The following is a 12,807-nucleotide window of genomic DNA, read 5'->3' as shown; positions in this document are numbered from 1 at the left end:
AGAGTTTCATCATGCTGGCCCTGCTGGTCTTAAACTCCCGACCTCGAGCAATCCACCCGCCTCAGCCTCCCAAAGTGCTGGGATTACAAGCGTGAACCACCACGCCCGGCCCACAAATACATATTGAGTGCTAACTCTGTTCATCGCTTTCTATTCCGTGTCAGGGAAGTTTGGGTGAGACACCCAGTACACTCTAGGTCACTATTTTTTCAACTCATAGCCCTTCACAGGGCACTGATCTGTGCCAGGCCCTGTGCTGAGTATGGGGAATACTGATGCGTAAGCTGCTTCCTGCCCTGGGCGAGTTGCCATCCTGGCCCTGCGCCCGGGACTCTTGACTGTTAACCATAACCCCGTGGGATCCATGCTAAGCAGTCCCATGGGAAGCCCAAGGAGAGAGTGGAGAGCCAGGGCCACAGCAGAGGAGAGGGGAAGGCTGTCATTGCAAAGCGGAAAAGTCCTGATTTGGCCTGTGTCATGAAATCCTTTTATTGCTTACAAGTTTCAACATTCAGATTATTTTCTGAATAGCCAGAGAGGAGCTGAATGGGACAAAGAATTTATGAAAATGATGCCAGCCCGGAGTTCTGGTGCAGACAGGCCTTCTCTAAACCTTGGTTAAAATCACCCTGTGTATAGAACACAGGGTCCTGGGCCAATGATGATAATAGTAACAATGCACTTTTTTGTTTTTTGTTTTTATGAGACAGGGTCTCACTGTGTCACCAGTATGATCATGATTCACTGCAGCCTCCAGCTCCCAAGCTCAAGTGATCCTCCTGCCTCAGCTTCCCAAGTAGCTGGAACTACAGACATACACCACCACACCCAGCTAATGTTTAAAACTTTTTTTTTCTAGAGAGGGGATATTGCTATGTTGCTTAGGTTGCTCTTGAATTTCCAGCCTCAAGTGATCCTCCCACCTTGGCCTCCCAAAGCACTGGGATTACAGGCATGAGCCATCTCATAATGGCCGGTTTTTTAGCACCTACTGTGTATCGGGCACTGTGCTAGGTGTTTTACAGACATCATTTCATTTAATTCTCACAACAACTCTGCAAAGGAGATGAAATCTAGTTCAGATATGGACACCTAAGGTCACACAGCTGACCAGAGGCCTGGCGTGGCACCAGGGAGCTCGCAGAATGCCAAGTTGAACCTTAAAAGTATCACCAGTCAATCCTCATCCTTTGCAGATTCCATATTTGTGAATTTGCTTGCTTGCTAAAATATATTTGCAACTCCAAAGTCAATATTCACAGGGTGTTCACTGTCTTTCACACACGTGTGGAGCAGCAAAAACTTTGGGCTGCCCGATGCTACATTCCCAACTGAGGCTGAACAAAGCAAGGCCGTGCCCTCTTGTTTCAGCTGTCATACAATCAACAAATGTCCTATCGTGCTCTGTTTAATTCTGCACTTTTCACTTTTTGTGCTTTCTTTGGTGATTTTGCTGTTTAAAATGGCCCCCAAGGCTGAGTGCAGTGGCTCATGCCTGTAATTTCAACACTTCGGGAGGCCGAGGTGAGAGGATCGCTTGAGCTCAGGAGTTGGAAACTGGCCCGGGCTATATAGTGAGACCCTGTTTTTACAAAAATAAAAAAAATTAGCTGGACATAGTGGTGCATGCCTGTGGCTCCAGCTGCTCAGAAGGGTGAGGTGGGAGGATTGCTTAGGCCTGGGAGTTAAAGGCTGCAATGAGCTGTGATCACACCACTGCACTCCAGCTTGGGCAACACAGCGAGACCCTGTCTCAAAATAAATAAATAAATAAATAAATAAATAAATAATAAAATAGCCCCTAAGTGTAGGGATGAAGTGCTGTCTAGTGTTCCTAAGCTGTGATGTGCCTTACAGAGAGAAAATACATGTTAGATAAGCTTCCTTCATGCATGAATTACAGTGCAGTCAATGTTAATGAAGCAACAACTTACACTAAATAAAGTGTGTTTAATAGAATCACACATAAAACAAGGTTCCATATTGCTTGGTTAATGAAAATGTGATCAGTGGCTCACAGGAATTTCACCTTGGATATATCTAGGAGCAATGGTTCTGTATTTGGGAAGTCAGCGTTTGCGGTGACTTTATAGGAGGAGAACTACCGTAAGTAGTGAGTGTCAACTGTATAGAACAACACAGAAGTTCTTCATTCAATGTACTTATCTCTGTCTCTTACACATGCACACACATACATACATACATACACATTTATACTTTTTTTTTTTTGAGACAGGGTCTCACTCTGTTGCCCAGGCTGGAATGCAGTGGTGCGATGTCTACCCACTGGGGCTCAAGTGATCCTCCTGCCTCAGCCTTCCGAGTAGCTGGGACTACAGGCATGCACCAGTACACCCAGCTAGGTTTTTTTTTTTTTTTGAGATGGAGTCTCATTCTGTCACCCAGGCTGGAATGCAGTGGCGTGATCTTGGCTCACTGCAACCTCCACCTCCTGGGTTCAAGCGATTCTCATGTCTCAGCCTCCCAAGTAGCTGGGACTACAGGTGTGCAGCACAGTGCCTGCCTGGCTAATTTTTTTTTTTTTTTTTTTTTTTTTTTTTTGTCAAGACGGGGGTTTCACCATGTTGGCTAGGCTGGTCTTGAACTCCTGACCTCAAGTGATCCACCCGCCTTAGCCTCCCAGAGTGTTGGGATTACAGGCATGAACCATTGCATCTGGCCGGTTTTTAAAACATTTTTTGGAGAGTTGAGGTGTTCCTATGTTGCCCAAGCTGGTCTCAAACTCCTGAGCTCCAGCGATCTACCTGCCCTGGCCTCCCAAAGTGCTGGGATTACAGGTGTCTCTACACACACACACACACACACACACAATTGGCCAGGTGTGGTGGTGCACACCTGTAGTCCCAGCTACTCGGGAGGCTGAGGTGAGAGGATCACTGGAGCTGGAAAGTTCAAGACTGCAGTGAGTCGAGATTGCACCACTGCACTCCAGTCTGGGCAATAGAGTGAGACCCTGTCTCAAAAAAATTATAAAATAAAATAAATGAATCTAAATGGGATCCTACTGTGTATATTCTTTTGCAGTTTTCTGTTTTTGCTTCACAGCAGGCTGTATGTGCTTTCTGTGTTGCTGTGCCCAGAGACCAGCCTCACTCTTTTTAAATATCTGTGTGATGTGAATGTTTGTTCTCTCGTGTGCTTAACCATTTGCCCCTTTGATTGACATTTAGGTTGTTTCTATTTTTCATTACAACAAACATTTCTTGTCCATGACAATAGGGATCTGTAATGGGCCCTTCCATTCCTTCATAGAGGGTTTTCACTGGGAGAGACTGGGGCCAAGACTTGCTCAGATCTCTGGGCAGAGCTAGAGCCAGAGGACCCAGAATCCCAGCAGAGCTCCAGTTACCTGTGAGAGAAACAGGGGCCTGCGAGGGCAGGGAGGGTGGGCGGAGGGCGGTGGGCACAGAGCCCCCGCTCCCTGGCAGTGCGTGTGGTCCCATTCCTCAGGTCCTTGTGCAAACACCGCTTTGTCCCTGGCTGAATAGGAAAGTCAGCCCCAAATTAGCACTAATGTGAGGGCGTTTAACCCTCTTGTGAGGCCCTTTGAGAAAGCACAAAAGAACTTTTTCAGGGGCTGGGCTGTGCAGCCCAAACAGGTCTGACTTGGAGACACATGCCTAGCAGGAATGCCAGCCCTAGGGAGACTCAGCAACTGCCCTCTCCTGGCAGGTAACCCAGCAGATGGAATCTGAACACAGCCCCCGGTCCTGGAAGGCCTGCACCCCAAGGGCTGTGGCAAGCAGGGGCAGGCCACTGTGCCAGAAGGCAGGATCTCATGGCTGGTTAACTAACGTTTTGACATCAGGGAGATCTGGGTTCAAATCCTAGCTCTGCTATCACAAACTGAGACCCTCTGAGCACGTCTGTTCCCCATCTGAGCCTCAGCTCTCTCAGCCATCACATGGGGATGATAATAGTGATGACCAGAGGAGCTTATTAAGAAGGTGACCTGAGACGATACAGTGTCACCTTCTCCGGGAGCCTGATCAGGCTGTTTAAAACCACAACATTAGGTGGGGCACAGTGACTCACGCCTGTAATCCCCAGTATTTTGGGAGGCCAAGGTGGGAGGATCTCTTGAGCCCAGGAGTTTGAGATGGGTCTGGGCAACATGGTGAAACCCTGTCTCCACAAAAAATACAAAAAAGAAAAAAAAAAAAACAGAAAAATTAGCTGGGCGTCGTGGTACACACCTGTAGTTCCAGCTACTTGGGAAGCTGAGGTGGAAGGATGGCTTGAACCTGGGAGGTCGAGGTTGCAGTGAGAGCGGTGATTGCACCACTGCCCCCCAGCCTGGGCAACACAGCAAGACCCAGTATCAAAAATAAAAACATAAAAAAAAAAACAAAACCACAGCATTCCCCTGCCCAACTCCACTCCTCTCTCCTCCTTTGCTACCTTATTTCCCTCCACAGCACATGCCCCTTCTAACCTGCTGTATAAGTTACTTATTTGTTTCACTTACTACGTGCCTTTCCCAACCATAAGCTGCACGAGGGCACAACTTCATACCTCCTCTGTGCATCGCTGTATCCCAAAAGCCTTACACGGTGCCTGGAGCACAGTGGGCCCTCAATAAATATTGGTCATGTACAGAAGGCTTAGCACGGTGCCTGGCACATAGGAGTCTTTGATTTTAAAAGACAACTTTGGCAGCTGCCGCTGTTGGCATTGTCCTTATTCTCAATGTAATTCCCCAGGGCACACAGACAACCAGGTCCCTGTGCCACTAGGCTGTGCCTATTGGGATTCTCACCCTCCTCAGCTCATAAATCAAGAAAGAGAAATATTTGGGCCCATACAAAACCACAGCAGAGGGCTGGGCCTTGCCCAGAAGTTGCCTCTGAGTGGAGTCTGTACGTGCGTGCGCGTACGTGTATTCGTTGGCCTGTCTGTGTGTTTTCCCATCAGCACAGGTGCCTGCTGGGGCCACGCTGTACACCACAGGCTCTCCTCTCTCTCAAGATGGAGGTCGGGGTGTAGCTGCGTTTGGGGAGCAGCTGCCACATCTCCTTAGGCATGTAGCAGCCTGCGTGTGCTCCGGAGACAGAGCAGCGTGGGTGAGGCTCAGGGTTTGCCTGCCCCAGTGGCCTCTGCTCCAGAACAGGCTTGTCTGGGCCTGCCCACCCTTAATCTAACCACAGAATTGGGGAACTGACTGAACCCCAATTTCTAGGGGGGTACAGCTTGAACGCCAAGGCTTCTGCCACTGTCTCCATGGCCTTGGCCCAAACCTTATTGGCAAGAGGCCAAGTCAAAGGGCCTCACGTGGGTGCTGGAGGTTCCAGATCCACAGGCCATCTCCTGGGTTCTGAAAGGGTCACTCGTGTTTCCCAAGTGCCCACTAAGTGCCAGACCTGCATGAGGAGCGGGATGGAGGGGTGAGCAACAGAGACCCAGCCCTCCCCCATGGGGCTCCTGGGCTGGGCCAAGGAGGCAGATGTTAAACAAAGAGTTACTTAAATTACAGATGTGATGAGGCTGAGAAGGAAAATTCAAGGGACTGTGTGTGCTTTGAACTGGGCTGAGGTGGGTGCTTTGAACTGGGCACCTGAGCTGGGCTGAGGTACTCTCTGAAGAAATAATATTTATTTATTTATTTAATTTTGAGACAGGGTCGTGCTCTGTCACCCAGGCTGGAGTACAATGGCATGGTTACAGCTCACAGTAGCCTTAACCTCCCGGTCTCAAGCAATCCTCCCACCTCAGCCTCCTGAGTAGCTGGGACCACAGGCACACACCACCACACTGGGCTAATTTTGTTTACTTCTGTAGAGACAGGGTCTGTGTTGCCCAGGCTGGCCTTGAACTCCTGGACTCAAGCAATCTGCCCACCTTGGCCTCCCAAAGTGCCGGGATTACAAGCATGAGCCAGGGCACCCAGCCAGAAATGATATTTAAACTACGGCTGGAAGGATGGTTGGTGTCAACCAAGTTGAGAGGCTGGAGTGGTGATGGGAAGAGAGGAATTGTGTCTCAGAAAAAGGGAACAGCATGTGCAATGGCCCCGAAGCGAGCCTGATCCGCGGTGTGATTCTATTGAAACCTGCAACACCCTAAGAGGGAACTTTTAATTTTGCTGATGAGAAGACGAGGCTTGAGGAGGTTCGGCCACCGGCCTGGGACTCAGCAGGTTGCATCCTGAGCCCCTGGGGTTTTCCTGAGGACTCAGCCTGAGTCACCCAGGACTCAGCCGAGTCCAGAAGACCAGCCTCCCTTACCTGTGGAAAATGTTCAAAAAGTTTCAGGGTTAATGAGGTTTCTGGGGGGGAAACTCATTGTGAAGGAGAAAGCATTAAAAAAGAGCATAATCCTGATTCTGAGGTGACTGGGAAGGCAATTCCGGGATTCCAGCATCCTTTCCCAACCCGGTTCCTCCTTGGATGTGGTCCCATCTGATATAGCTTTCCCAGAATGAATCACAACGCAAAACTGTCCAGATGCATGTAGATAAGTAAATAAATAAACCCAACAAGTGGGCCAATTCCTTCTTCCTGGAGGAAGTAGCTCAGTAGAGTCCACAGATAACAAAACAGAGTGTGTCTTAAGATTTTAATTAATCACATTGTTGATTTTCCCTGGGTTATTGAATAAGGTCCACTCGGAAATAATGAAGACACCAATGTGCCTGGGCTCCTGGGCGAGTAAAGAGAAGGCAGCATTTGGCAATGCCTGGTGAAGGCCTAAGTGAGGTGCGGGTCATTCACTGTGATTTGCTCCACATTTATTTACAAGCCCAGCAAGCTGTCCCTACTGTCCCAAGGTGAGCAACCATAGCTTGACTTCCTGGGCTAGAGCAGGTGGCATCTTTTTTGAGGAGGCCCCAAATGGCATCCCCCATACTCCCTGATATGATGACTATGACTGGGGCCTCCAAGTAGTAGGTGAGGCGTGGGCACCCACCTGTCTCTGGGTAACCACACCTACCTGAGTAAGCATTGGGTAACCAGGCATGAGGCACCCATCTGCATGGGCAATTTGTACAATTACCCCGGGTGCCCAGGTGAATCAATGTTTACTTGCTGCAAAGCTGGGGAACCTCAACCTCGCCTGTGGTCCAGGGACCTCCAGGGCAGCAGCATGGGAGGAATGTCTGGTCCAAACGGCTAAGGCATCCCTGGCCCAGTTTCAGGTACAGACTCCAGCAGACTCTCCAGTATCCATTCAGGGTTGAGAATGTTGAGGAACCTGGAGATATTTGAAAAATAACTCCAGAAACAAATGAAGCGATTTTTAAAAACAGGGCACAGTGAGGTGAATTAACTCGCCCCAGGTCACACAGTGAATACACAGCAGAGTCAGAACTTGAACCAGGCACAGGCAGACTCCAGCATCCCCTTCTACTCTTGGGTTAGTATACTTATATCTACTGTTGCATATGTATGGAATAGAAGGTCTGGAAGCATGTACATCAAAGTGATTTTTCTTTACTAGTGAGATTATTGGGGAGGGAGGGGGGCTTTCACTTTCTATTCTTCACAATCATGTATTATTTCTTCTTTTCATAACCTGCATTAATTTTATATTTAGGAAAAAGTGAAAAGATGTGGTTTTGATCTGGTGCTCCAAATTGATAATGTTTATCAAAGGCTTTAAAAATATCCTAAGGGAATAATCACATGTAGTCAAGAGGATACAAGACTGTTTCTGGAATCACTGATCTTCAACCCACTGCTTTATCACCTGACACAGTGCAGCACCTGTTGCTGGAACATTCCACAGCCTTTAGGAGTGGAGTTTTGAAGAACATGCAATGACATGAGAAAATGTTAATGACATAGAGTTAAATATAGAAAGGAGGGTATGAAATTGTATACAGAGTATGATGCCATTGGTGTTTTTAAACAATTCCAGGCTGGGTACAGTGGTTCACGACTGTAATCCCAACACTTTGGGAGGCCAAGGTGGGGGAATAGCTTGAGCCCAGGAGTTTCAGACCAGCCTGGGCAACAAAGTGAGACCCCCCCCATCTCCACAAAAAAATGAAAAAATTAGCCGGGCATGGTGGTGTGTGCCTATGGTCCCAGCTACTCAGTAGTCTGAGGCAGGAGGATTGCTTGAACCTAAGGGGTTGAGGCTGCAGTGAGCCAAAATCATGCCACTGCACTCCTGCCCAGGTGACAGAGTGAGACTGTGGAAAAAAAAAATTAAAAAAAAATTTTTAATCCTATATAGAAATACTAGAAAAATGCACCAAATATTAATAACAGTTATCTTTGGATGTCAGGGTTATGGTAACTTTAAGCTTCTTTCTACTTTTCTTCATTTTCTATGATAATTGTATGTAACTTTTCTACTCAGATAGAACAATAACAAAACAACTAATGTTTACTAGTGTTTTCTGTGCTAGGTATGTTACATGTTCCATCTTATTTAATCTTCACCACAAACTTATGAGTAGATGTGAGGGAATGAAGACTTAGAAATGGGAAGTAATTTGTCCATTGTCACACAGCTGGTATGTGGTGAGGCTGGGGTCTGAACCCAGACAATCTAACTGCAGAGGCCACTCTCAACCACTATAGATGCTATTTTTCTTTAAAATAAAGATAGTACTTCAAGGGCTGGCTCCTGTTCATCTTGCCCAGTAGGCACAATGGAGACCTGAAGCACAGCCACCATGGATCGTTGGGCAGGCTGTGCTCTGCTTGCTAAGCGGTGAGTCTTGGCAAGGAACTGTATCCATCTGGAGAAAGAGGTGCTTTTTCATAAAAATGTGAATTAAAACCACAGTGAGCTGCTACTACATACCTACCAGAAACATTAAAAAGATGGACAATACCAGCCAGGTGTGGTAGCTCATGCCTGTAGTCCCAGCACTTTGGGAGGCTGAAGTGGGGTGGATCATTTGAGCTCAGAAGTTCGAGACCAGCCTGGGCAATATAGTGAAACCCCGTCTCTGCAAAAAATACAAAAATTTAGCCCAGCATGGCCACACATGCCTGTAGACCCAGCTACTTGGGAGGCTGAGGTGGGAGGATCACTTGAGCTTGGGAGGTGGAGGTTGCAGTGAGCTGAAATCGTGCCACTGCACTCCAGCCTGGGTGACAGAGCAAGACTCTGTCTCAAAAATAAAATAAAATAAAATAAAATTAGACCAAATGTTGATGAGGCTGTGGAGCAACTGGAACTCTCATTCATTGTTGGTGACAAAGTGATACATTGTTGGTGGTGCAATAAAATGGTACCACCACCTTGGAAAAAGATCTGTCATTTTTTTGTAAAATAAAACATACACCTACCCTGTGACCCAGTCGTTGTACTCCTAAGTATTTACTCAAAAGAAATGAAAACACAAATTCACAAAAAGCCTTGTAGAAGAGTGCACATAGCACCTTTCTCATAATAGCCCCAAATTGTCAACAGCCCGGGTGTCCATCAATAGGAAAATGGACAAACGAACCGCAGTATAGGCCTACAAAAGAATACTCCCCATTAATAAAAAGGAATGAATTAATGATATGCAGGAACAACATGGATGAATCTCAAAACACTACATTGAATGAAAAAAGCCTTACATGAGAGATTATATAAGGTATCATTCCATTTATATGAATTTTCAGGACAGGCAAAACCAATCTACTGTGGAAAAATATTGGTACAGTGGGTTGCCTAGTGTGCTGGAGGGGAGAGTATTGACTGGGAAGGGGCATGAGGGAACTTCCTGGAGTGAGGGGAATATTCTTTATTTTGAGAGGGTTTGGGATCACAGGTGTATGCATTTATGAAAACTCAATAAAAAGCACTTGTGCATTTCATCATATATAAATTTTACATCAAAAGGATAAAAGTTGTGAGCAAATATATGTGCATGCTGAAGTAGTTAAGGAAATTGTATTGATGTCTGCAATTTACTTTAAAATTTATAATGAAGTCGAAGCATTAATGAATGTCTAGAGGGATGGCTTTATGTGAAAGAAAAGCAAGTACAGTACAACATTCATAGAATTTAAATGGTGAGTTTAAGGATATTCACTATAAAATGCTTTCAACTTTTGCTGTGATGTTTGAAAACTTTCATAATAAAACATTGAAAAACAGGCTTCCTGTACACAAACATAATTATGAAAGAAGCCAGGCACAAAAGGACACACGATGTGTGATTTCATTTAGCTAAAGGACAAAATGAACTGATGAGATTAGAAGTCAGGATAATGGTCAGGACAGGGGAGTGAGGGGGTGTGTGTTACTGGGAAAGTTCTGCTTTTGCACCTAGGTATGGATGGCGGTGTTCAGATTGTGAAAATTCATGATTGGTGCACTTTTCTATAATGTATATTACACTTTTCTGTACATATGTGTATTGTACTTAATAAAACTGGGTTTTAAAAGACTTGTCATGTTACCAACTCCTGCTTCAATCAATATTTGGTAATAATTCACCATCTGTCTTACTCACAGAGAAATGTGGGTTCAAATTCTGGTTCTGCCACTTAGCAGCTGTGGGATCACACAAGTAACCTCCATGGGTCTCAGTTTTCTCCTCTGTTAGGAGGAATAATGACATCTCTCTCAGGGGAGGTGATGTTGAGATGGAAGGAGACCATACACACTCATTGCTTGACCCTGTGCCTGCCACATGGTATTAGGTTGGTGCAAAAGTTGACGAGTTTTTGCCATTAAAAGTAATGGCAAGAACCGCAATTACTTTTGCACCAACTTAATAACTGCTTTCAACGAGATTAAACGGTGGTGATTAATCAGTACCCTCAGGCTTCCCCTGTTTTCACCACCACCAGGGATGTCAGGACTGGGCAGCAAGAAAGGCTTTTGGATTGGCTGAGGTCCTTTGGGCCACTTGCTTAACTTCAACTTCTCTGAGCCTCAGTTTCCTCATCTACAAAGTACAGATGATAATTCCTGCTGGGCGGGGTTGCCGTTAGCACCAGAAAAACTTTAGATCCATTAGCTTGAAGATGTCCAGGGTTTTCTAAGGACCTTCTTGTGTTTTTTGTGTTTTTTTTGTTTTTTTTTTTGTTTTGTTTTTTGAGACAAGGTCTCACTCTGTTGCCCAGACTGGAGTGCAGTGGCTCGATCTCAGCTCACTGCAACCTCCATCTTCCAGGCTCAAGTAATTCTCCTGCTTCAGCCTCCCAAGTACCTGGGATTATAGGCATGTGCCACTACTGCCCGGCTAATTTTTGTATGTTTTAGTGGAGACGGGGTTTCACTGTGTTGGCCAGGCTGGTCTTGAACTCCTGACCTCAAATGATCCACCTGCCTCAGCCTCCCAAAGTGCTGGGATTACAGGCATGAGCCACCGCGCCCAGCCCCTTCTTGAAGTTCCAAACCCCACTATGGGGTCAATGGATGTAGCTTGGACATCTTGGAATAGAGGCTCTGGGGTCCTCCCCAGGATACAGTGACAGCCCTTGTGGCACCTGCCCCTGGAGGCCAACACGGTAGCCTTGCTGGCACAGCCTAGCAATTGCTCCAGTTAGTAAATCAGGGATTGCACTTCAGTGAGTAACCTGCCACCCAGGAGCAGTTATCTGCTGCTGCCACCACACAAAGGAAGCTCTGTTCAGGCACAAAGCGACTGCTTGGGATGCTGGCAAGACCAGAGCTTCCCCTGGCCCTCAGGCCAGGACTTGGGACTGGGTGTCTGGCCCTGAAGGTGGGTATCAGCTTCCCAAAGGTGACTGCCAAGCTCAGAGGCATTAGGACGTGCTCATTTCTGAGCTTTGAGACAGCTTGTCTTCCACCCACCCACTCTGCCAGGACCCAGGCTCGCTTTCCTGGGGGCAGCTGGTCATTCTAGTGTGGTATGTGTGTCAGCCATGGACCAGATGGTCTATAAGCCAAGGATCCTCAAATGGAGACCCTTGACCCCAGCCCAGGACTCCTCAGCTGGAGAATCAGCCCACTCCTGCCCAAGAGGGACAGGTGCTTAGGACCAAGTGGGCAGCCAGTAAACATACATTAGAGAGAATAGTAGCTAAGGGCTTAATTGCCGGGCAGCATGCCAAAGCATTACACCCATTGTCACATTTGGACTGTTATTATCCCATTTCTCAGATGAGGAAAGTGAGGTTTAGAAAGATGATGTAACCTGCCCCGGAATCCATGGTTTTAGCCCAGCTTGGGTGACTTTGAAGGGCCCCCAATCTTTTTTTCTTTTTTTTTTTTTTGAGACAGTGTCTTATTCCCATTGCCCAGGCTGAAGTGCAGTGGCCTGATCACAGCTCACTGCTGCCTTGAACTCCTGGGCTCTATTGATTCCACTGTCTCAGCCTCCCAAATAGTTGGGACTACAGGCACGTGCCACCATGCCCAGCTAGTTTTTTTTTATTTTTGGTAGAGATGAGGTCTCATGATGTTGCCCAGGTTGGTCTCGAACTCCTGGATCCACCCTCCTCGGCCTCCCAAAGTGCTGGGATTACAAGCGTGAGCCACTATGCCTGGCCAAGCCTCCACTCTTGCCCACCTTGTTATACTAGCAGCAAGTGATGACAACAATGATAACTGACTTTTAAGCACGGATAGTACATGTGCTAAGCACTGTACATTCATTATTGGATTAAATCACTCGAACGACCCTACGAAGTAAATATGATTATTCCCCATTTTATGGAAGAGGAAACTGAATAAATGAATGGCTGGTGGGCTTCGCCTCTCAATAGCTAATTTTTATCACATACCTTCTCAACAGAATTGGGTATTAGGACAGACACATTCATACTGATGATAGCCTTTCATCTCCACAACCCCAATAAGACGTCAGTGTTAGTTCTTTCACTTTCTAGATGATATAACTGAGGCTTGGAACAGTTACATTTCCTG

General features: G+C 46.6%; 4 annotated features.

The window, feature by feature from the left end:
• Positions 3,165–3,763: an enhancer, noted in NCBI's record as "OCT4-NANOG-H3K27ac-H3K4me1 hESC enhancer chr1:24613189-24613787 (GRCh37/hg19 assembly coordinates)". NCBI's record gives its function as "activates a minimal SCP1, AML or CMV promoter by ChIP-STARR-seq in naive H9 embryonic stem cells {active_cell/tissue: H9 hESC(naive)}" and the evidence as "EXISTENCE:reporter gene assay evidence [ECO:0000049][PMID:30033119]".
• Positions 3,429–3,723: a silencer, noted in NCBI's record as "tiled region #530; K562 Repressive non-DNase unmatched - State 21:Repr". NCBI's record gives its function as "represses a minimal TATA promoter and a strong SV40 promoter by Sharpr-MPRA in K562 cells {active_cell/tissue: K562}" and the evidence as "EXISTENCE:reporter gene assay evidence [ECO:0000049][PMID:27701403]".
• Positions 3,764–4,362: an enhancer, noted in NCBI's record as "OCT4-NANOG-H3K27ac-H3K4me1 hESC enhancer chr1:24612590-24613188 (GRCh37/hg19 assembly coordinates)". NCBI's record gives its function as "activates a minimal SCP1, AML or CMV promoter by ChIP-STARR-seq in naive H9 embryonic stem cells {active_cell/tissue: H9 hESC(naive)}" and the evidence as "EXISTENCE:reporter gene assay evidence [ECO:0000049][PMID:30033119]".
• Positions 11,510–12,011: an enhancer, noted in NCBI's record as "H3K4me1 hESC enhancer chr1:24604941-24605442 (GRCh37/hg19 assembly coordinates)". NCBI's record gives its function as "activates a minimal SCP1, AML or CMV promoter by ChIP-STARR-seq in primed H9 embryonic stem cells {active_cell/tissue: H9 hESC(primed)}" and the evidence as "EXISTENCE:reporter gene assay evidence [ECO:0000049][PMID:30033119]".

The sequence above is a fragment of the Homo sapiens genome, chromosome 1, assembly GCF_000001405.40.
Source record: "Homo sapiens chromosome 1, GRCh38.p14 Primary Assembly".
NCBI classification, from domain to species: domain Eukaryota; kingdom Metazoa; phylum Chordata; class Mammalia; order Primates; family Hominidae; genus Homo; species Homo sapiens.
The sequence above is the reverse complement of the archived record's forward strand: the minus strand, read 5'-3'. Positions and strand labels throughout refer to the sequence as shown.